General features: G+C 39.5%; 1 protein-coding gene across 4 annotated transcripts in view, besides 1 other annotated feature; it reads left to right on the top strand.

The window, feature by feature from the left end:
* Positions 1–24,411, top strand: part of CDYL (chromodomain Y like) — a 249,407-nt gene that overhangs the window by 87,096 nt on the left and 137,900 nt on the right. The gene's annotated exons all lie outside the window — the stretch shown is intronic.
* Positions 9,128–9,177: an enhancer, noted in NCBI's record as "active region_23897". NCBI's record gives its function as "activates an Ori minimal core promoter by ATAC-STARR-seq in GM12878 lymphoblastoid cells {active_cell/tissue: GM12878}" and the evidence as "EXISTENCE:reporter gene assay evidence [ECO:0000049][PMID:35858748]".

The raw sequence follows: 24,411 nt of genomic DNA on the forward strand, positions 1-24,411 counted from the left end.
TGTGGCACTGGAGATATAGCAGCGGGCATGACCGCTCAGCCACTGCCCGCCCACCTTCAAGGAGCTTTTATTCTAGTGGTGGCAACAGTCTAGTGAGAATCGGAGTGCTAGTGGCTGGTGGGGGTGGTGTTATTTTTAGGTGAAGCAATCAGGGAGAGCTTCATTGATAGGGTAACATTTGGGACTGGGGTTGGAGTGAGGCCGGCAGGAGGCCAGTGTCTCTGGAAACCAAGGGAGAGAATGGCGGATGAGGTTGGGGGTACTTGTAGGACTTCATAAATGTGCTAAGAAGTACTTTGAGTTTTATTTGTAGTAAGATGGGAAGCCATGAAGGAATGATGTAATAAAATTAAATTATTTTAAAGTTTATGCCAGATGCTATCTGGGCAACTGGAGGGAGACTTAGAAGGAAGCCGGGAGACCAACTAGGAGGCTGGCAGGATAATCCAGGCAAAGGATGATGGTGGTTTGAAACCCAGGTGGTGACATTGGGAGGTAGTAAGGAGTGATTGCATTTCGGGGATATTTTGAAGGTATTGCTGAGCAGGATTTACCCATGGATGGATATCGGATATGAGGGAATGAGAAGGAATAGAAGGGACCTGGAGTTTTTGGGGTTGAGTAACTAGAGTGGACTTGCCATTTACTGAGATGGGGGTTCATGTGTAGGGTGCAGCTTTGACTTTATTGCCCTGGAGGGCTGGTGGGTATTTAGGAGTTGGATTTTAGATGTGTCGAGTTTGAGATCCCTTTTAGACATCTAGTGGGAGCGGCTGGGCAGCTGTGAACTACACAGGATTATAGTTCAGGGCAGGAGAGAATTTTAGGAGTTATCCATGTAGTACACTTGGTTCTTAGAGCCATGAGTGCATTTAATCATCCAGGAGGTAAGCATAAGTAGAGAAGAGATGTGAAGACTGAATCCTGGGGGCACTGTAGCCGTCATCACATAGAGCTTGCGGGGAGATAAGAGACACAGTAAAGAAGACTGAGAAGAGACGTGGCCAGAGGAGGAGGAGAACCGAGAGATAGTGGTGCACTGGAAGAAAACCTCAAGGAGGGAACGAGCCCCACTGTGTTTGGTGCTGCTGAGGACTGAGAATTGACTGTTAGATTTGGCAGCGCGGAGGCCACTTGGCAGCAGCTCTTTCAGTGGAGTATGGAGACTGGAGTCTGGCATGGGCTCATGAGAGAATGGGAAGAGAGGATTTAGAGGTGGTGATTATGGGCGACTCCTCGGAAGGGTTTCATGGAAAGAGAACTGGGAGTGCCGGGCAGGCTCCGGGGTTTGTTTGCTTAAAGACAGAGGAATGATGGTAGTTGTGTGATGATGGGAAAGAGCTCGGGAAGGGGAGGGCCAGGAGAGAGAGAGTGCAGGGACAGTGGCTGGAATGATTTCCTGAGATGGCCAGAAGGGATTGCATCGAAGAGCATGGGGTGCATGTCCCTTACTCGTATCTCGTCTCTCTCAGTAATGTTTTGTTATGAACCTTTTGAAAGTTTTGCATAACCTTTCTTGATTGATTCCTAGAAACTAGAGTTTTTGTTGTTGTTGTTGTTGGTCTCGTTGATGGAAAAGCAGTTGGTTAATGCCAGTACATAGAAAGGCTGTTTATGTATATCTGATCTTATATCTAGCAGACTTGTTAAACTGTCTTTGTATTTGAAAAACTGTAATTTCTTTTAGATTTATATGTAGACAATTATATCTTGTGCAAATAGGGATAGTTTTTTTTTTCTTTTCGAACTCCTGCAGTACCTGTTATTTCTTGTACTGAATTGGCTAGGACCGTCAAGTACAACGTTGAATGTAAGTTGTAACAACAAGCATTTTTGTTTTATTTCTAATTCCAAAAGAGTGGATCTGTAAAATTTTACTATTAAATAAAAGCTGTGAATATTTGTTAGATGCTCTTTTTTAAAAAAAAAAATCTGGTTAAAGTTTTATTACTAGCTTGTGAAGAGTTTTAAATCTTGGTTATTGAATATGTTTCTGCATTTATTGCAGATTGTTGTTTTACCCTTATTTTTATTTTCTGATGTTGAGCCATCCTTACATTTCTGGGATAAATGTGACTCTGCTTAGTCACATGTATTATTTTGTGTATATTGCTACAGTTTTTTTCCTAATCATTGTTATAATTAGTCACATGAAAGAGAAAGACACAACTGAATATTTTTTTCTCTTCTCAGTTTTTAGAATTTTTGGAAATTCTGTTTTTTTCTGGTTTTGGCTTTACTTGCCTAAAAAATCATCTGAGCCTCTCTGCTGCCTTTTAGGATGGAAGGTGAACTATTTATTTTCCATCGAGAATTTGATCTTATTGATTTATGAGTACTATTTCTTGAATCAATTATGGTTTAATGTCTTTTATATTAGAAGATTCTTAGGATACTTAAACATCTATACTGGCTCTGTGATTCAGCATGCCTCATTCTTTTTGTACCTTTTCTCTTAGAGGTATTTCTTTTCTCTTTTTTTTTTTAAAGAATCAGTTTTTGTCTCGGTTCTTTCTGTTGCATCCTTGTCTTTCATTATTTCTGGTTCTTTATTTCCTTCTGCCTTTAGGTTATTTGGTTCTTTTTATAGCTCATTGAGTTGAACATTGAGCTCGTATTGTTCTTTCATGAACATTATCCTCTAAATGCAGCTTTTGCTGCATCCTGTAAGTTTAATTTCATTTTTTTCACTTTCAGATTTTTTTTCTGTTTATTTAAAATACATTCACTTTTTTTCCTGAGACAGAGTCTTGCTCTGTTGCCCAGGTTAGAGTGCGGTGCAGTGGTGTGATCTAGGCTCACTGCAACCTCTGCCTCCCAGGTTCAAGTGATTCTCCTGCCTCAGCCTTCTGTGTAGCTGGGACTACAGGCACGCACCACCATGTAACAGGGTTTCACCATGTTGGCCAGGCTGGTCTCGAACTCGTGACCTCATGTGATCCGCCTGCCTCGGCCTCACAAAGTGCTGGCATTACAGGTGTGAGCCACTGCGCCTGGCCCACTTATTTTTTGAGTAGGATATTTATTCATAGGTCTAAAAGGCCAAAAAGTATAAAAAATGAAAACCAAAAAATGATTTTAGTTTGATGTGAGAACATTTACATTTCTAAGGTGAAAAGTTTTTTTCTTGTGATTTTATAAAATATTTTATATTGGGATTAGATTTAAATATTTGTTCAGGGTTCATATATGTACATATATGTCAAATGTATTTTCTTTATGAAGTATTTACTATACCCTTCATTGTTTTCTGGCCCGATCTTTTAATTAACTGGCACAAATGAGTTGGTTTCCTAAGATTATAGGTTTGCCAATAAATATTTTGTATATTTTGAGCCTAGGCTTTAGATGTATACAAATTCATGATCGTTTATTGTATTAAGGTGTAGTGCCCATCACTTAATGAATTTTTCCCTTAAAATGTGTTTATGTTGCTGTAATAACTAGTTTTGGATAGTATTTACTAGTTGAATCTTTTTCCTTCCCTTTTTATTTAAAAAAGTTTGGTTTTGTTTGGAACTCTGTCTTGAGAGCACCATATAACTAGATTTTAACACTTCAGTAGTATCTTTTATCAGTTTAATGTGTTTAATTTTGTTATTACTATAATGTTTGGAATTCTTAGTGTTTGCTGTTTATCATTCTTCTTGGCTTACTTTTAGTGTTAGCACCTTGTTGGTATGAGAGATTTTTCTACATGGATTTGCTATTACTTTGCTGTGTTGAACTATACAGATTCTGTGTCTGACCTTGTGGTTGCCATTAGTTTCTTTGAATTCTGCTTATCTGTTATTTTGATTAAATTATTCAATAATTTCTCCTGGAATGTGACAAGGATATTGGCATTCTTCACCTTTTGAATGTATTCTCTCTCCTATTTGACATGTATCTAGAATTTTTAATTCTTTTCAGTGTACCAAAAATGAAATATGTATATTACTTTAATTTATATCCATCTTTCTTGAAGACACAATAAGGAAATTCACTGATTAACTCTTCATTCTAATCTGTAATCTTACCCTCCACTAGATTAATTTTAACTTTAGAAAACACATCAATAATACTTCTAAAAATCACAGGTTACTTAAATTTCCCGACATTTCATTTGAGAACTTACTGTTTTCTTTATTCCTTCTCTTCTACGTGGGCTGTTTTTTCTTCCTGAATTACATCTTTTTCTTTTCTTTTCATTTCTTTTTTTTTTTTTGAGATATAGTTCACATACCGTAGAATTTCTCCTTTTAAAGTATGTAGTTCACTGGTTTTTAGTGTATTCACAAAGTTGTACAGCCGCCGCCACCACTATCTAATACCAGAACATTTTTATCCTTTTGGAAAGAAACTCCATGCCCATTAGCTGTCAATTCCCATCTTACTCTAGACCCCTGGCAACCATGAATCCACTTTTTGTGTCTGTGAGTTTGTTTATCCTGTACATGTCATATAAATGGAAACATACATTTTGTGTCTGACTTCTTTCACTTAGCAGAATGTTTCCAAGGTTTGTGTTGCAGAATGTATCGGTGACTCATTCCTTTTTGTAGCTGATTAATACCCCATTTTGTGGATACACTGTGACTTGTTTATCCATTCGTCACTTGGTGGGACATTTGAGTTGTTTCTACTTTTTGTCTATTATGAATATGAGCATTCATGTAGAAGTTTTAGTATGAACATGTATTTTCTGTGTTGTTGTTGTTGTTTGAGTATGATACCCAGGAGTGAACATCTTTTTTTTTCTTTTCTTCCTTTTTTTGGAGACAGGATTTTATTCTGTTGCCCAGGCTGGAATGCAGTGGCGCAGTCACAGCTCACTGCAGCCTTGATTTCCTGGACTCAGATGATCCTCTCACCTCAGCCTCCTAGGTAGCTAGGACTGTAAGTGTGTGCCACTACACCTGGCTAATTTTTGTAATTTTTGTAGAGATGGAGTTTCACCGTGTTTCCCTGGCTGGTCTTGAACTCCTGGGCTCCAGCAATCTGCCCACCTTGACCTCCCAAAGTGCTAGGATTACATGCATGAGCCACCATGCCTTGCCAGACATCTTTTAATAATTATTTTAGTGAGGATTTGGGGATAAGTTCTTGGTATTCATTTGTCTAAAGATAATTGCACTATTGTCACTAGTAATGACATTTTAGCTGGAGATAAGTTTATTGGTTTACCGTTTTTATCAGTCTTAGAGCTGATGAAAAGTCTCCTGTCCTCCTTTTCTAAGTTATCTGAGTTTCTGATAGTTTAAGATTTCTTACCTTTGATAGTTCTGTAGTTTTATTACAGTGGGTCTAAGAGTAGATATGGTATACTTTTGGTCTCAGTATGAATTGATCTGAAGATGTTAACATATCTTTTAATAAATGTCAGTGCCTTGAGGAATTGTGTCTATCTTCATAAGGTATGTCAGTCTATAATTTTCTTATTTCACATCACAGTTAATGCTGGCCTCATAAGAGGAGTTAGGAAGCACTTTCTCTGTTTCTCAAATTGAATGTATTGTACTGGTTTGGATTCTTTCATGAATATGTACTAAAATTTATCAGTGAAGCTATTGGGGACTAAGATTTTCTTTGTGATAAGTTTTTAGATTATGAATTCACAGCCTTTAATTAAACATAAGCTAGACTTAACATTTCTCCTTGGGTCAGTTTTTGTGAAAGTTGTATCTTTAAAGGAATTTACCTCATCTAAAATGTTGCGTTCATTAGCAGATACTTGCTTCTGCTCTTTATTATTATTACCTTTACTTTCAGTTTAATTTGCTTTTTCTGTTTTGGTTTCTTAAGGTGGAAGTTTAGGCCATTGCTGTATTGTCTTACATGAGCATATAGTGCTGTACATTTACTTGCAGCTCTGCTTCAGTCTATCAAAATTTGATATGCTTTCATTAGAATCCAGTTCAAAATATTTTCTGGGTTGATTTGTGATTTCTTCTTTGACCCCTGGGTTTAGAATTAGGTTAAATTGTGGATATTTGAGGTTTTTCTAAATGTTTTATTGTTGATTTTGAATTCCATTGTAGTCAAAGCACATTTCCTATAAGATTTCAGTTTTTTGGAATCTATTCAGAATTGTTTTATGGCCCAGTATATGGTCTGTCTTGGTGAATGTTCTGTGTGTATTTGAAAAGATTATATAATTCTCTGGTTGTTGATGGAGCTTTTCATAAATACCAGCTAAACTACAGTTGGTATGGTCACATAGGTCTCCCATTTTTTTTTTATTTTTTTATTTTTTAGGCAAGGTCTCACTCACCCAGGTTGGAGTGCAGTGGCGTGATCATGGCTCAGCATAGCTTCCACTTCTCAGGCTCAGATGATCCTCTCACCTCAGCCTCCCAAGTAGCTGGGACTATAGGTGTGTGCCACCACACCCAGCTAGTTTTTGTAGAGATGGGGTTTCATGATATGCCCAGGCTGATCTTGAACTCCTGAGCTAGGCGATCTGCCTGCCTTGCTCGGCTCCCAAAGTGCTGAGATTACAGAGCATGAGCCATTGCGCCCAGCCAAGATCTCTCATCTCTTTGTTTTATTGTTTTTTGGTCCAATTTTATCAATTACTGAGAAATATGTTAGAATTTCCAAATACGATTGTGCATTGGTTGTTTCTGTTTCTGTTTCACGTATTTTGAAGCTGTCATTAGATGGATGTATATTTATAATATTGTTATATTTTCCTTTTAAAATCACTATGAAACGTCTTTTTTGTTTCTAGTAATACTTTTCGAAGTCTACTTTGTTTTACATTAATGTATCCATTCTAGCTTTGGTATATCTTTTTCCAGTCTGTTACTTTTAGTTTGTTTCTGTCTTTATATTTAAAATTGTTCTTTAGAAACCAGAATATAGTCAGTTCTTGCCTTTTTAAAATAATCGGATAGTCCATGCTTTTTAATTGAAATTAATCCATTTACATTTAAAGTAATTATTAATATGGTTATATTAGGTCTATCATTTTTTGCTTTTCTTAGGGAAGGGATTTTATTTGCTTTTGTTCCTCCTCTTTTGCTGATTTTGTGTTAACCAAAATTTCTTATTAATTTTAATTCTTCTGTTGGTTTTCTAGCTATATGCATCTTAGCTTTTTCTTTAATATTGAATCACTTTGGATAAGACATATAATTTTTTCAATGATGTGTTTCCAGTTCCACTACTTATCCTTAGTATTATTGTCACAGTTGTTGCATTTATATACTTTGTAAACCCATCAGTAGTGTTGTATTTTTTGCTTTATGCTGTCATCTTTTATAGAAAACTAAGATATTACATATATCCACATAATTACCATTTCTGGCTGTCTTCATTTCTTCCTGTAGCTCTAAGTTGCCATCTAGTGTAGTTTCCATTTGGACTAGAGATCTTTCTTTAGCATTTCTTGTTATAGATCTACCAATGACAAATAGTTTATTTGAAAATGCCCTTATTTTACCTTCATTTTTAAAGGAAACTTCTTCTGAATACTAGAATTCTTGGTTGACTGGTTTTCTTCCTTTTCCTTCTTCAGTAATTTGAATATGTGGTCCCAGTGTCTTCAGACTTAAAAGTTTCTAAGGAGAAGTCTTTGTTCTTATCGTTATTGTTGCCGTTGTTTTCCTGTTTATGACGTCATTTTCTCTGGCTGCTTTCAAGATTTTGTTTATCCTTGGCTTTCTACCATTTGACTAAGGTGTGTCTAGAAGAAGTTTTGTTTGTGTTATTCTGTTTGAGGTTTATTGAGCTTTTGGGAGATATTTCAGTTGTTGTGTCTTCAGATGTCTTTTCCTCCTTTCCTCTCTCTAGAGTCCAATTAAGGTACTGCTTCCTGTTGTCACATTTTTGGGAATTCTACTTATTTTTCATTCATCTCTTTCTCTTTATGTTCTTCAGATTATTCTGTATTCAGGTTCATTGCAGATGGCAGAACCAAGCATCAATCCGTTGCTTAGCCAGTCTAATGCATTTATTTTAGTAAATGTTTTGTTCAGATCTAGGCTTTTAGTTTTTCTGGTTTCATTTTTCTCCCTTGAGATTGCCATATCTGTTCACTTATTGATACCATATTTTCCTTCAATTCTTTGGGCATGTTTTTCAGACGTTTTTGAAATATTTATGATAAATGTTTGAAGTCTGTTAAATCCAACATTTCGGCTCACTTGGAATCAGTTTCTGTTGACTATCATTTTACCTGCAGAGGGTCAAGATTTCCTATTTTTTTCTTGTCTAGTGGAAAGTTGGACATATGCTGTAGTGAGTCTGAACTCTTGTGTTCTTCTGAGGATTATTGTGTTTTTATTGTAGCAGACTGTTAATAAACTGCTTGGTCAAACTACACACTTTGTTTTTCCTGTGATATGCAGCCGCTTGTAGCTCTCCTCTGCTCTTAGGTCTTTGCACTGGTGGTGGTTTTAGTGTGGCACCCTGTGAGTCTCCCCTGTGTCTGCAAAATTTGAAAGTTGGCTAAGGATCTGAGTAGAGATGGACTTTTCTCTGTGGTTGTCTTTATTCTGGGGATTCCCCTAGTTTCTAGCACTCCACCAGCTTTGAGCTCTGTACTCTGACATTTCAAGCTTTATGCCGCCCTAGCTTGAGCATAGTTGGGAAAGAGCATCATATTCACAGATTTGGCTCCATGTTACTCTTTTTTAAAAATATTGCTTTCTGGTTTCTGACTGCTTTTTCACCGTGCTGCTTGTGGTTTCCTCAGCACATATGTAGTATGTAGTTCAGCTGTCAGCTAGGGATTTCAGCATCTTATGCTCTGAATTTGAGTGTCACCTCTATATTCTAGTGCTGTCAGAGTGCTTTAAATTTCTAGCTGCTTCCCCAATTCCAGATTTTGATATCTGGCACCTTTAGTTGGTGAGGAACTGGCTTTTGTTTGCCCCCATGTTTTGCAGCAATAGCTGTGGGAGTTGAGCAGTGCCTTGAGCCAAGATGCCACAAACTCACAATTCTTAACCCTTCTAGTTACAGTTTTTGAGATTTAACTCTCTTCCTGGCTTTTGCAAATACTACCTTTAGATCATTGAAAAAAAAATCACTAATTAGCTTGGCATGGTGGTACACACCTGTAATTCCAGCACTTTGAGAGGATGAGGCATGAGTCTCACCTGAGGCCAGGAGTTTGAGACAAGCCTGGGCAACATAGTGAGACCCCGTCTTTACTAAAAATAAAAAAAACTTAGCTGAGTGTGATGGCAGTGTGTGTAGTCCCAGCTACTTGGGAGGTTGAGGTGGAAGGATCACCTGATCCCAGGAGGTTGAGGCTGCAATGAGCTATGATTGCACCACTGTATTCCAGCCTGGGTGACAGAGTGAGACCCTACCTCAAAAAAACAAAAAACAGTTATTATAAATGTTATCTGTGAGTGTTTGTGTGACCTCTTCACCCTTCCTGCCATTACAGAAAGTTGATATTTTTAGTTTTGAAATACTAGGGTGAGTATAGCTTGTCTGTTTCATGAGCGTGTCTTTCTGTTGTGCTTTCATTGCTTTTAGGGTCATTATTCAGTTTATTTTGTTCTTTTTTTTTCCCTTGAGATAAGTTTGTATGAGAGTCAGCCACCATCCTTTTTCTGTTCTTCTTTTTATTTGAAATTAGGTTGTGTGCACTTGTGCAGGGAGGGTGGGCGGGAGAGGTTTTCAGAGGCCACAGGATTCTCTTTTCCGGCATCTCACTAAGTACTTGACAGTGTGGCCTGGTACCTTTTGAGCTCAAGGGCTGTCCTCCCATTCCTCTCCTTCCCCATCCATCTGGGCTAGACCTTCTCTTTCCATTGCGTCCCCCACCCCACACTATCCCTTTCCTGCTCCATTGCTGTTCTGTTCCCAGCAGTTTTTCTTAGTAGAAGGAGGCTTTGGCTGGCTAGTTTCAAGAGCCCTTCAGCCTTAGACTGCTGCAGTCCCTTCGGACCTGGCTGTGATCACTTGCATCCACCTATAGATGGAAGTGTGCAAAGACCCTTCTAGTTTTGGCTGCTATTCTCAGCTGGCTCCCTGAGTTTTCCTGTGAGGTGCCTGTTGACAGTGTCAGGGTTCTTCTGCTCCCATCCATCAGACACCCTGTTGCTATCCTCTGCTTCCTCTGCACAGATCCTCATCCACCTGGTCCTGCAGCTTTTGCCCATTTATCATCCCTTTCCAGTCACTTAGTTTTCTCTTGGCTATTATCTCAAGATTTGAGGGATTGGGCAATTTTTGCACCTCCTCTGCTGTCCCCATTCTCCTCCATCTGCCTTGAAGTGAAGCAGATTTTATCCTGCTCTGAAGCCTGGGGCATGGATGAGAATTCTTTCAGGATTCTCTCACCAACTTTCTCCAGTAACAGGATTGACAGACGATAGACAGGTGTGGGCTCTGTTCCCTGGTTGCCCTTTCACTTGAGAGTGTAGCCCCTGACCTTGCCTGTCTGCGTGGGCTCTAATCTGACCTTACAGCCCCGTCACTGTGGCTCTGTGTCCCTGTCCAGCATCAGCACGTGGCCTCGGGATATCTCCTGGCTTCAGACTTGGCTCACTTTCCTGATTTTTTTTTTTTTTTTTTTTAGTTTTCATCTTTATTTTCCTGATGACTTCTCTTCATTCTAGCTTGTAAATGATGTATTTTTAAAAGTAGTTAAAAGATATTTTATCCAACTCTATGTGTGTATGTGTGTTTTTTGTACTAGGAGGAATTTTGGGGGTACCTTTGTCCTTATATTGGTGGTGTAAATTATATTTTTTAAAACTTTTCTTTTTAAAAATAGCTTATGTGTCTCATGGCGTAGCGTGCTTTTTTTTTTTTTTGCTCTCCTAAGTCTTTTTGATTTTTAAAATACTTTGTTTGCCGTGCATGTTTTAAGAGTTTGCTCTCTTTAGGAAACCAGTCAAGGTCCATAATTTTATGAAACTTGGGCTGTCAGTTATTTACAGACTAACCAGTGTGGACAGAAGTAAGAGGAAAAGTGTAACACTTGTGTTATGAGGTCTGGGAGAGCTGAGGCCACTCCCCCTGTTTTACAGGAGGAAGGTCCTAAGCAGTGGCCTCGCCCAGTCAGCCAACCTCCAGTTTCACCCACGAGAATGGTGGGCCTGAGACCAAGAGAAGGCCATTATTCAGTCATGTTGAAGTGCGGGGCGCTGCCTAAGAACCTAGCTCCTAGGCTCCCCACATCACTGCAGGGCAGGCATTAGTCACCACTTTTAGAGCTGAAGAGAATGAGTCTTTGGTTAAGTGTTGAAATAGAAGTACAGTTCAGATCTCAAAATAAAGACCTTTGTCTTACGACCGCATCTCCAGGCCAGTGGCCTGGGAGCCAGAGAGAGCTTGTTCTCTGATGCCCAGGGCCCTGCTCTTCCTCCCCATCAGTAGGAAACGATGGCCTTGGAGGCTTATTTTGCTCATCACTCTCGCCCCACTGCTGTAAATAACAGAATGGCCCTCGCTCTGCGGTTTCTAGACCCTGGCACTGTTTTTCAAACTTGACTGTCATAGAGACCGCTGCTAAAAGGAACTGTCTGCACGTCCGTCTGGGTCCATTCTCCTACTCATGACCAGTGGTGGAAATTTTAGGTTGTTTGAAAAAATGTCTTTTAATGGCAAATTAACATTCAAGAAGAGTAATTAGACTTAATAACTGGAAGGCTTTTTTAGTCCATCACTTAAAACACAAACGTGGAAAATGTCACAGAACTCTTGGCCCATGTAGCGCATGCATCTGTCCCATTTCTATACTTTTATCTGAGTGTTCCAGGTTACACTTGTTTTAAATAAGAGAAGAAAGAGGGAGAAATTGTTCATAGTAGCTGCATGGTTAACGGTGTTAGCTAGTTTGAATCAGATTTCTAAATCAGACCAAAAAAACCCCAAAAAACAAAAACCCAGAAAACAGACTAGATGGTGCTTTTGAATAGGAATAATATATAAACCATTGATCTCAAAACACTAAAAACTAGTATATGCTCATCAGTCAGTGAATTAGCTTTTTACTCTAAACTTAAGAGTAAGTTTTGCTTTACTTTTAGAAACTTTTAGAACCAAACATGGGAACTCATGTAATCTAAGTAACTTAGTAGTGAAACTCTATTCTGCTCCCCATTGGGGGAAAAAAAAGCATATGCTTGGTAGAAAGAATGTTAGAACTTGAAAGTAGAAAGAAATGTTAGAACTCGAATCAGGCAAGGTACCATCAGGGCTCAGAGCCACACTGGTAATTCGAATGGCGGAAATTTCATAGAATTGTTGGAGAGGTGTTTAGGATCCTCCAGAGAAACGAACCCATAGGTTAGAGAGAGATATATAGAACCAGATTTATTATAGGGATTTGTTTATGCAATGATGGAGGCCTAGAAGTCCCATGATCTGCTTTCTGCAAGCTGGAGGCCCCGGAAAGTGGTGGTGGAGTTCCAGCCCAAACCCGAAGTCCTGAGAGCCAGGGGAGCCAGTGGCGTAAAGTCCCAGTGGGAGACTGAAGGCCCGGGAACCAGGGGCAGTGACGTGTGAGGGCAAGAGAAATGGATCCTGGCTCATGAAGAGGGAAAGGGGATTTGCCCTTCCTCTGTCTACCTCTTTGTTCTCTCCAGGCTCTAAGTGGATTGGATGATGCCTAAGAGGCTTAAGAGGGCGGCTCTTCTTTCCTTAGTTCACTGATTCAAATGCCAGTGTCTTCCAGAAACACCCCCACAGACAAACCCAGAAATAATGTTTTACTAGCTACCCATCTGGGCATCCCTTCAGCAGTCAAGTGGACATGTAAAACTCACCAGAGGGGCTGAAAGGAGATGTGTACAGAGGGGCAGCTGCAGCAAGCCGCTGGCGCAGGAGCATGAGGAAGGAGCTGAGAGCAGCGCAGCCTGCCTGCTGCTGAGATTCGACCGCAGGGAGCGGGTGTACATGCCGCAGGGACGCAAGACCTGCCAGTGCTGGACAGAGTGGCCATCCACAAAGTCCTCTGAGGTCAGCAGGAGGGGCCCTGCATGCCGACCCACCGGCTGTGCCACCTGGAAAACCACATGCTGGAGAAGAAAAGGAATGCTTGCAGTCCCTCCAGCACCCTCTGTTGGCAAAGCCTGGCATCAAGCGTCACCCAGGATTTCAGAGCAGGGCAGGGCGAGGTCTGCATCTGAGAAGCAGCACCTTCACACCTCCTCCACGCTGCTCCCAGAGCCATCTTTCCAAAATGTGAAATTCATTCTGGCATCCCCCTACCAGAGGATCTTCATGGCTGTCAAACAGAAAGTGTTTCAACTTTTTATTTTGCAGTAGTTTTAGAGTTTCGCAGCAAAGTTGTAAAAATGATACAGCATTCTCAAATACCACTCCTCCAACTTCCTGAGTGTTAACATCTTCTGTAACATTGTAGCACAGTTACCAAAACCGGGAAAGTCTTTGGGAGGAGCTATGCAGGCTGTATTCACACTGCACGTTTTCCCATGAATGCCTTTCTTCTGTTCCAGGACCCAGCATTGCATTCAGATCCTGTCTCTTTAGGCTCCTTCCTTCTGCGACGGTTCCTCAGTCTTTCCTTCGATGATCTGGACACTTTCAAAGAGTGCCTTTAAGTTCTTTTGTAAAATGTTCCTAAATTCTGGTTTTCTGTCAGGTTAGTACATTTTTGGCCAGAATTCCATAGACACAACACTGTGTCCTTCTGTGTTAGTCTCCTTGGGCAGCCGTAATAAAATACACAAACCAAGTGGCTCAGGCAACAGACATTTGTTTCCTCACTGTTTCTGAGGGTGCATTCCAAGGTCAAGGTGCGGGCAGGATGGGATTCTCCCGAGGGCTTCCTTCCCTCAGAGGCTTGTGGATGACATCTCTCTGCCGTGTCCTCACACGCTCTTTCCTCTGTGCGTGCGTGCACCGGTGTCTGTGTGTGTCCAAATTTCTTCGTATGAGGACACCAGTCATGTTAGATTAGGGCTCACCCTCTAGATCTCATGTTAACTCAGTCACCCCACTAAAGGCTCTTGTCTTCAAATGTGGTCACATTCTGAGGTTATAATGGTTAGGGCTTCAATATAGGAGTTTTAGGGGACTGCAGCTCAGCCCATACATTTCAGTGGGTCGCTTATAGATGGGGTATATGATGTTGTCTAATTACTGGTGATATTAACTGTAATCACTTGGTTACGGGGATGTCTGCCAAGTTTTTCCACCATAAAGTAACTACTTTTCACTTTGTAATTAATACATATCTTGGGGACGATAACTTTGAGACTGTGAAAATAGGGCATTTCTCCTTGAACTTTTACCCATCTTTAGCATTCATTCCATTGGCCTGCAGCAGTTCTGTGGTGCTTACCTAATGGTGATTGTCTGTTCCTTTGTTTCTTCCACATTTGCTAATTGGAGTTGTTTTGCAAGGAGAAGCTATTCCTTCTCTGTATATCATTCATTCATGTCTTTTTTTTTTTTTTTTTTTTTTTTTTTTTGGAGATAGGCTCTTGCACTGTCATCCAGGCTGGAGTGCAGTGGTGTGAATGTGGCTCACTGCAGCCTCTACCTCCTGGGCTCAGGCAATCCTCCTGCCTCAGCCTCCTGAGTAGCTGGGACTACAGGCATGTGCCACCACACCTGACTAATTTTTAATTTTTTTCTGTAGAGATAGGGTCTTGCTATGTTGCCCGTGCTGGTCTTGAACTCCTTGGGGTCAAGCGATCCACTTGCCTCCACCTCCTAAAATGCTGGGATTACAGGCATGAGCCACCGCGCCGGGCTCATTTATGTCTTTATGCACTTAGATTTTTTTTTAACTCTATGTATTATAATCCAGTATTCTTATTCTGTTACTCAGATTGTCGTAGCTTTGGTCATTGGAAGCTCCTGCAGTTTGGGTCCTATGTCCTTTCATCATGTTTTCCCAATTTCTTATTTTCAGCTACCACAGGACACTCAGGGTGCATCTTGAATTTTCTTTGCTCCAGCTCTGGAGTCAGGCACTTGAGGGAGCACTGTTTCATTTTATTGGCAAACGGCATTTAGAAATGCACATGCGGGGCAACACGTGCTTGTTGCCGTTGCCTCTCGAACCTCTAGGAGGACAAAGCTTGGAAGTGCATGCCTGTATCTTAGCCCACACAAACCTGCACATCTATATATGGATCTCTCTGCATATGCAGTTAAAAATGAGTTCCTATTGATGAATTCCATTTCCAGTTTAACACCATAGCATTCATTCTAACCTTCTTCTTTTCCTTAATTGTTAACTCCTTTCTCCAGCAGTGAGAAATCCATACTCCGCTGTCTGTAATACATTTACTCATTTGCTCAACTCTAGTATAACATCAAAGTAGTTTCAAATTTGCTAACCCAAATCCCTCTGAGAAGCAGCTTTATTAACTAGAACACATGCCAGTGAACTGTAGCCCATGGGTTCAATCTGGCCCGCTTGATGTTTTTGTAAATAAAGTTTTATTGGAACACAGCCCCGCCTATTTGTTTATATATCACGCATGGTTGCGAGAGAGACCATATGGCCTCCAAAGCTGAAAAGCTTTACTGTCTGACCCTTTATGGACATGGTTTGCTGACTCTTAAAGTCCAAGAATATAGATTTTGTGTACGGCTCTTTTTGTCTTTAGCTTTATGGTGTCCCAGTCAAAATACTGTTTTCCAAGATTGCTTTTTCTTTTCACCTCCTTCAATGTGGTTATTTTATTCATTTGTAATTGAGTTAGATTAATTTGTTACTGCTTGGATTCCATTTTTTTGTTCCCCATACACACATCCTGGTTGATTGTCATTGTGTGTTTTGGATGTGTGAAATATTGATGTGGCTTCCAAGCGTGAGAGCTGTGCACCAGGGTATACACTCAGAAAAGCCTCCTCGTTCCAGCTTTCCCATTCCCATTCTGTACGCCCTCCACTCCTTTTCTACCCACCCTCTGTGGGTGACCAGTCTCTTTAGTTTCTAGTTTGTCTTTCATGTATGTTTTGTGCAAATCAACAGATACATATGTATTTTATTGCATTATCTTTCTTAAAAAAAAGAGCAGGTAGTATGGTATAAGATACTCTTCTGCACTTGACTTTTTTCACTTATCAATATGTCTTGGAAATCACTCACATCAGCTCTTAAAGATCATCTTCATTTTAAAAAATAGCCACTCCTTCGTGTGGATGTACCATAGTTTATTCAACCACTCTCCTATGTATGGCATTTAGAATGTTTCTGGTGTTTGTAATTATAAACGGTGTTGCAATGAATAAACTTGTGGATGTGTAGTTTTATACTGTTGGAGGCCTGCCTTCAGGATAGTTTCTTAGATGTGGGATTGCCAGTTTTTAAGAGTACTTTGTATGATAGGGATATTATATTAGTCCTTGGTGATCCTTTGTATGGTAGGGGTATTATATTAGTCCTTGGTGATATTTTGTATAGTAGGGGTATTATATTAGTCCTTGGTGATCCTTTGTATGGTAGGGGTATTATATTAGTCCTTGGTGATATTTTGTATGGTAGGGGTATTATATTAGTCCTTGGCGATATTTTGTATGGTAGGGGTATTATATTAGTCCTTGGCGATACTTTGTATGGTAGGGGTATTATATTAGTCCTTGGCGATACTTTGTATGGTAGGGGTATTATATTAGTCCTTGGCGATACTTTGTATGGTAGGGGTATTATATTAGTCCTTGGCGATACTTTGTATGGTAGGGGTATTATATTAGTCCTTGGCGATACTTTGTATGGTAGGGGTATTATATTAGTCCTTGGCGATACTTTGTATGGTAGGGGTATTATATTAGTCCTTGGCGATATTTTGTATGGTAGGGGTATTATGTTAGTCCTTGGTGATATTTTGTATAGTAGGGGTATTATATTAGTCCTTGGTGATATTTTGTATGGTAGGGGTATTATATTAGTCCTTGGTGATGTTTCTTGGACATACTTTCTCCCCGTTGGCTTTTGACTTTGATCTTGGTGTATGTGTGTGTGTTTATTTTTGCCTTTATGACTCGCCCTTGCCTACGGGATAATGACATAATGCATAGTTGTCTAAGTGTGTGATGGGTTACCCTTTGCCTTTTGTTGTTTGCATTGTACTTCCTAACTCCTACTTCACAAGATTTCAGTTCAGGCATCAGTTCCGAAATGATTTCTCAACTAGCATGAGTTAAAGAAAGAGATTATGTTCTGCCTTCTCAGAGGGTGCTACTTTTAAAAGTTGTTTGATCCTCATGGTACCCTTTAATGACTCCCTGTGATTATATGTCTAGTACCAGTTAACTATGTCAGAGTTACTTTCAGATTTTATCAGTTGTTGTGACTGTATGGGATGACTCAGTGTTGGACCTGAGACTTTGCCTCCAATTTTAATATATTTCATGAATCCATTTCCACTAAAATCTTTTTTGTTTTAGTATATAATAAAATCTACACATCTCAGTTTTGACTTGCCTGGTGTCATAGTCCATTTGGAGAGCTGTAACAAAATACTATAAACTGGGAGGCTTAGAAATAACATAAATGTATGCTCATAGTCCTGGGGGCCCAGAAGTCCAAGGTCAAGGCACCCAGCAGATTGGTGCCTGGCGAGGGCTGCTCTCTGCCCTTCTCACAGTGTCCTCACATGGTGGAAGGGACTAGCCAGGTCTCTTATCAGGGCACCAATCCCATTCATGAGGGCAGAGCCTTGTGCCACTCTCCTATGTATGAGACCTAGTTATTTCTCAAAAGTCTAACCTTTTAGTACCATCATACTAGGGATTGGGTTTCAACATAGGAAATTTTGGGGGACACAAATATTCAGACCATAGCAAGTGGTCATTTGTGTCTATTCAGTTATTGCAGGCAATTCCTTCAGTAAATAGAGAAAGAGCTTGTCAATGCATATCATCTTGTGTCAGATCAGCCGTACAGAGGTCCATTTACTGGGAGCTAATGAAGCTTCAGTTTCAGGTCTGACAGAAGTTTTTGATAGTTGGCGTTATAGAGGGGACATTTTTGCATGCTCATTAATTCTTTAGTAGTTAAGAAGGATTTCCTCTGGAAGCATTAATTAGCAAGAATATGAAGTAAAAGTAAAACATAGTAGACCATGTAAAAACTTCCTGAACTATGTTGCATAGATAATACTAAAGATAGAACTAGCAGTTGTTTATTTTTAATAAGCTCTCTAGACTTAAACTATTTTAAATAAAAACAGAGCACCTGACTTAAAATAGCATTTTTAAAAGTACCTCTTCAGTAGTAATAGGCTGTCACTGCTAGCTTATTGGTTATTTTCCCTCAGCTCTTGCTCTCTTCTGGTCAGTTATGGATTCTTGTTTGAGGAGAGGAGCTGGCAACACTAGTTGGCCCTCTCTGTACTTAACATCATGAGGCTCCTAGAATTTAGTAAGGAGATACTCAAAAGTAGTCTATATGGGTTTTTAAAAACTAGCTTTTAATTACACAAGTACTCAATGACATTATTCTTTTTTTTTTTTTTTTTTTGAGACAGGGTCTCTGTCATCCAGGCCATAATGCAGTGGTGCCATTATAGCTCACTGCAGCCTCAAACTCTTGGCCTCGAGTGATCTTCCTGCCCTGCCTTTCCAAAGCTCTGGGATTACAGGCATGAGCCACCACCCCTGGCCTCTCTCTTCTTTAACAAATACTAAATTAATTTATTTAGTTTAGAGATGGGTCTCACTGTTACCCGGGCTGGTCTGGAACATTATAAAGACTCCTGTTGGCCATCTCACTTGACTGTTGTCTTCCACCCTCTTCCCCATTCATCAGCTCTTAGTGTTGGTCTCCCCTGGAACCTTCCACATCATCTCCTGTGCCTTTGCTGTCTGCAGGGTGGTCCATGGACTGGCAGCAGCATCAAGCTTGCTGGAGTTGGTTAGAAATGCAGACTCTGAGGCACCGCCCCAATCCAGTTGAATTGGAATCTGCATCTTAACAAGATCTTTGGTGATTTGTAGGGACATGGTTTTGTATACATGTTTTCTATAGTGAACATAGAAAGTACTGCCAATGTGTGTTTAGAATGTACACAAACGATATGATGTAACTTTTTCCATCAACAAGATGCCCTAGATACCTCTAAAGATCACTCTGTGTGGTGTGTGTAGACCTGTCTCATTCTTTCTTAGTTGCTTCCTAACTTTACTTCTGCAGTGTTAAATGATTAGTCACTTCCCCATTGAAGGACATTAAGGTTGTCTGCAGCTTTTGTTTTTTTGGGATGTCCGGTGTAGCGGTGAACTCACTCTAGGGCACGTCTTGTGTACATGTGCCCAGAAAGTAGCTGGATAGAAGAGTGTGAACATTTTTAACTTAAACATCCTGCTAAATTGCCCTCCAAACTGGTTGTATCAATCTGACTCTTACTTTGTTTCAGTGATCAATTTACATAGTCTTTATTCTTTATAACATTGTTTTAATGGCCATAGCATTATAATGTTTTCATATCAAGTTGCCTATCCCTCCCCTTTGCTGTAATTCTTCAAAATTATATTGGCTTTTAAAGAAATTCCACAGTCTTCTATAGGAAATTTAAAATCAGCCTGTCAAGTTCTGTGAAAAATTCTAGTAGGGATTTTTTTTTTTCATGGCTGAAGATTGTATTGAATTTCTAGATTAATTTGGGTTGGAGACTAGGTATGTGAAGTGTTGAGCCTTCTGATACTCATCTCTGAACATGGTATTTCTCCCAATTTACTTGTCTTCTTCTGTCCTTGAGTAAAGTTTTATAGCTGAATGTATAGGTATATGTGCATTTGTATGTGTGTGTTGTGTATTGTAGTTTTGTCTGTTTTCTTTTAGATTTATTCTTAGGTTGTTTTTCTAGCTATTACGAATAGGATTTTCAAAAAGACTGATTTCTAATTGATTGCCGTTGTATAGGAAAATCACTAAGTTTTCATATGTTTACCTTGTTCCTTTGCTGGACACTGTTTTAATGGTCAGTTAGAGCTCTAGGATTTTGGAGTCGGCAGTCTTCTACCTTCGAATTAATTATAGTTCGTACTTGCTTTTCCTTGTGTTTATGCATCCATTTCATTTTCTCATCTGGTGTAGGCTGGGAACTTCCAGGACCATTTTGAGTAGTAACATGGTAGAGAACACTGCCGTCGTCATCTTCGCCTACTGGAGTGCTTCTAGTGTTTCACCATTGAAGTATGAGCATTCCCAAAAATGTCTAGTTGTAGATATTCTATCCAGATTTGCTGGCGAAGAGGTCTTTGTTACTTTTTAAAATCATGAGTGGGTTTTAATTTGATGGTGTGCTTTTGCAGCATCCGCTGATATTCTTAGGTTTTCTCCTGTATCTAATGATGGTAGTGACAGATTTTCTAGGACTGAATTACCCTGTTATTTCAGGGACTTACTCTACTGGGTTATCATTTATTCTTCTGCCACTGATGGATTCATTTTGCTAAATTATGTGTTTAGGATGTGTAAATATCTGCTGTGAGATTGACGGATCCATTTGTGCATGTGTGTGTATATGTGCACATGCTGTTCTGGTTTTATTTTATCCGATTGTTATTAGAATCTAATTAGTTGTTTCTTGATGTTTTGGTGGAATTTGCCTCAAGTTTCTATCTCAGACTTGTAAACAGAATTGTTGGTGCAATTTGTTTTTTCGTTTTTCTGTTTTTTTTCAAGACAGGATCTTGCTCTGTAGCCCAGGCTGGAAGTGCTGTGGTGCGATTATGGCTCACTGCAGCCACAGCCTCCCAGGCTCCAACGATCCTTCCACCTCAGCCTCCCGGCTGGAACTACAGAAGTGTGCCACTATGCCTGGCTAATTTTTTTTTTTTTTTTTTTTGTAGAAACAGGATTTTACCACATTGCCTAGGTTGGTCTTGAACTCCAGCTTGAACTCAAGTGATCCACCCACCTTGGCCTCTCAAAGCATTGGGATTACAGGATAAGCCACTGCACCTGGCCAAGTATTTTTTATTTCTAATAACAATGAACTTTTGGTGCATCTGGATAGGTAGCATTCCCATTATTTTCATTTCCACATTGAGTTAAAATTATTTTTGGCAAACTTTTGGGAACAAAACATTTTCTTAAAATGTTGAAGTAAGTTTTCTTAAACTTTCTTAAAATGTTGAAGTAAGTTTTCTTAAACTTTGTGTAAGCAGCTATTTTTATGTTAGTTAATTATTTTAGAGTTGAAATCATGAGAGGGGAAAAACAACCTTTAAGTAATTGACTTGAACCTATTAGAAAGTGAAACTGAACAGGTATTTTACTGTTCATGGAGCATATGCAGAGTCAACCTAAGAGGTCAAAGGAATTTAACTTATAACAAGAGGAAGTTCTGCTTCAGTTCACTGTGAGGACTTAATATTAGAAAAGTAGAGTTTACAGACAAATTTAGTATTTTGTTATTGTTGTTGTTTTGGAGACAGGGTCTTGTTCTGTTGCCCAGGCTGGAGTCCAGTGGTGCAGTCCTGGCTCATACTGCAGCCTCCACCTCCAAGGTTCAAGCAATTCTCGTGCCCCAGCCTCCCTGGTAGCTAGGATTACAGCCGGCTACCATGCCTGGCTAATTTTTGTATTTTTAGTAGAGATGGGGTTTTACCATGTTGGCCAGGCTGCTCTCGAACTCCTTGCCTCAAATGATCTGCCCGCCTCAGCCTCCCAAAGTGCTGGAATTACAGGTGGGAGCCACCCCACCCAGCCCAAATTTAGGATTGAGAATAGATCCTACAGATGTGCCATGTGGGATTCATGTCAGCTTGTTGTAGGGTTTTGATGGAATCCATTCAAAGAAGAGGGAGAGGATGAAGAGAGCCAGCCAGATTAAGGGGCAGTGTTGTAGGGTCTGCCAGTCCCTTGGTAACAGATCTCTTATTCAGAAATATTCTCATTTTTCCTGGTTTGTGACCCTTAGTTTGCCTTCTCTTCAATCCCAAAGTCCGATTTTTAAAGCTGCCAGTAGGAACTTGAGCTTTAATAGTACATGCTTATGCTTTTATACTAGTAATAACAAATACTTACAGATGGAAATAGGATATGTCTGTGTTCTCACCCTCCCTCAACCCTAACCTTCCAGAATATGCCTGAATATGTATGTATGTGTATATATGCATATGTTTATGTATATATCGTGTATCACATAAATAGATTTTTAAACATGCACCAGAGGTTTATATAAATATAGCTATAAGCCTTTTAATTTTGGAACTTAAGAATATTTTGTATGTCACTATGTAGTCAGTTACCACATATCAACCTTCTCTACTTAAGAGCCTCATAGTTTTATTCCTTAGTGTAGAATACTGTCATTTAGCCATTTCTCTGTTGATTTTTAGGTTGTTTACAGTTTTTTCCAATAGACTTACTATGTCAGAAGGAACACACATTTAAAAAATCTGTATAACCAGATTGCCTTCCAGTGTATTTGTTCATACTCACAGATTGAGTGCCTGCCTTCCTGCATGTGTATCAATACTGGTTATTATCAGTCTTTAATTTTTGCTAATCTAATGGACAGAAATTGGCATGTGATTGTTGTAATAGTGAGATTTCACTTTTTTTTTTTTTTTTTTTTACCTTTTTTTTTTCCCTTGTCCAAGGTGTGCCTATTTAATGTTCTTCGATCAGGCAGTTGGCACTTTCCATATTATATTCAGTGGTCCCGTGTCAGCATTTTCTCCTAATTTACTGCCTGTTTTGGCTTTTAAAAATATATGTATTTTTTGCTCTACAGAATGTGTTTATCATCAACTCTTTCTTTATGACAGCTGGCTTGTGTGTCTTGGTTAAAAAGTCCTTTTCTTTATCAACATTATAAACACCCTCCTATATTTTCTTTGAGTATTTTTATAGGTTTTTTTTTTTTTTGACGTTATCCTATTGGAGGATATTATTGTTTATGTTTGGGAACATAGAGATTGAGCTTTAAAATTTTTCCACGTGAAATAACCAGTTGCCCCAATAGTTTATTGAATTTCATGTTTTAAAAATGCTACCCGTTGGCATACACTAAATTTCTGTATATTTCTGAAGTTTCTGTTCAGCTTCATATTCAGTAGCAGTGGCAGAGCTGTCGTTACCCCAGCTGTAGAGGACGCACTGAGCATCAAGCACGCAAATCTCTCGCGTCCCTGTTTTTTTTTTTTGTCAAAATTCTCTTGATTATTTTTGTGTATGTAGGTTGACTTTAAGAGTTTTATTTTGGATTTTGTAAGTAGTAAAGGGGTTGCATTTTACAAAGCCAAAAATACAAATAGCCCCAAGAAACTACTACTACGAAGATTTATTTTTATTTCCCATCTGCTGGGTATTGTTTTAAGTACTTTGCAGATATTGTTACAGAAGAAGCAGTTATACTTTGATTTATTTTTCTTTCTTTCTTTTTTTTTTTTTTTTTTAATGGAGTCTCACTCTGTCACCAAGGCTAGAGTGCACAGTAGCACAGTCTTGGCTCACTGCAACCTCCACCTCCCAGGCTCAGGCAGTCCTTCCACCTCAGCCTCCTGAATTGCTGGGACTACCACCATGCCTGGCTAATTTTTGTATTTTTAGTAGAGACGGGGTTTTGCGATGTTGCCCAGGCTTGTCTTGAACTCCTGAGCTCAAGTGATCTGTCCATCTCAGCCTCCCAAAGTGCTGGGATTACAGGCATGAGCCACTGTGCCCAGCCTATATTTTGATTTCATAGTGAGCAAAAAATTGGTCTGATTGCATGACTGTAGTGGGGAAATGATAATAAGCTGACACCTATGTGTTTTAGCTGAGACAGTATAAAATTGTGTCTAGTATAGATTTGAGGTGTACTGAGGTTCCACTTGCCCCTCAAGGGACACCCCCAATTCTCATATACCCACCTTGAACACAGTTAACAGTGTTTGTGTCCTGCTTTTTATAAGTCATGAGCATTTCCTGATATCATCAAAATGCTTTTAGAAATACAACTAATAAATATATTGTGTCTTGCCTGTTGTATTGTTGCGAAATCTAGTTATTCCTACAGGCATTGTATTTTTTTGGTGGTATCTTTCTTTTGCAGTTGTGTTGTATGTGAAAGAGTATGTCACCTGTGAGGTATGGAGCCTCCTAAAGAGACCTGGGAGCCAGCTAACTTCAGCCGGAGCCTAATACTCATGCATTGAACTGTGTGCTCTTTCCCTCAGGCCTTTAATTACAGGTACACAGTTACAAGTAATACTGTGACCTACTCTTCAATCACCCTTTCCTTTTTAAGAGAATTAAAAAAAAAAAAAACTGTGAAATTCCTGGATCAGAAGCCATGGCTTTTGTCAGAGCCAGCTACTCACTCCCACCGGCAGTACCTGAGTGACCATCTGAACATTCCCTTACGAGCCACCACTAGACAGTACATTCAAAACTTAGCTCATTTGATAGAAAAGTGTTATCTTTTAATTTGCATTTCTTAGCTCACTAGAAGGTAAGTGATGTGGGAATTTTTGTTAAAGTTAGTATTTTTATCATTTTAAACTTTTAAGTCTGTAATTTACATATCTGGACTTTATTCTGCC

The sequence above is a fragment of the Homo sapiens genome, chromosome 6, assembly GCF_000001405.40.
Source record: "Homo sapiens chromosome 6, GRCh38.p14 Primary Assembly".
Classification (NCBI taxonomy): Eukaryota; Metazoa; Chordata; class Mammalia; order Primates; family Hominidae; genus Homo; species Homo sapiens.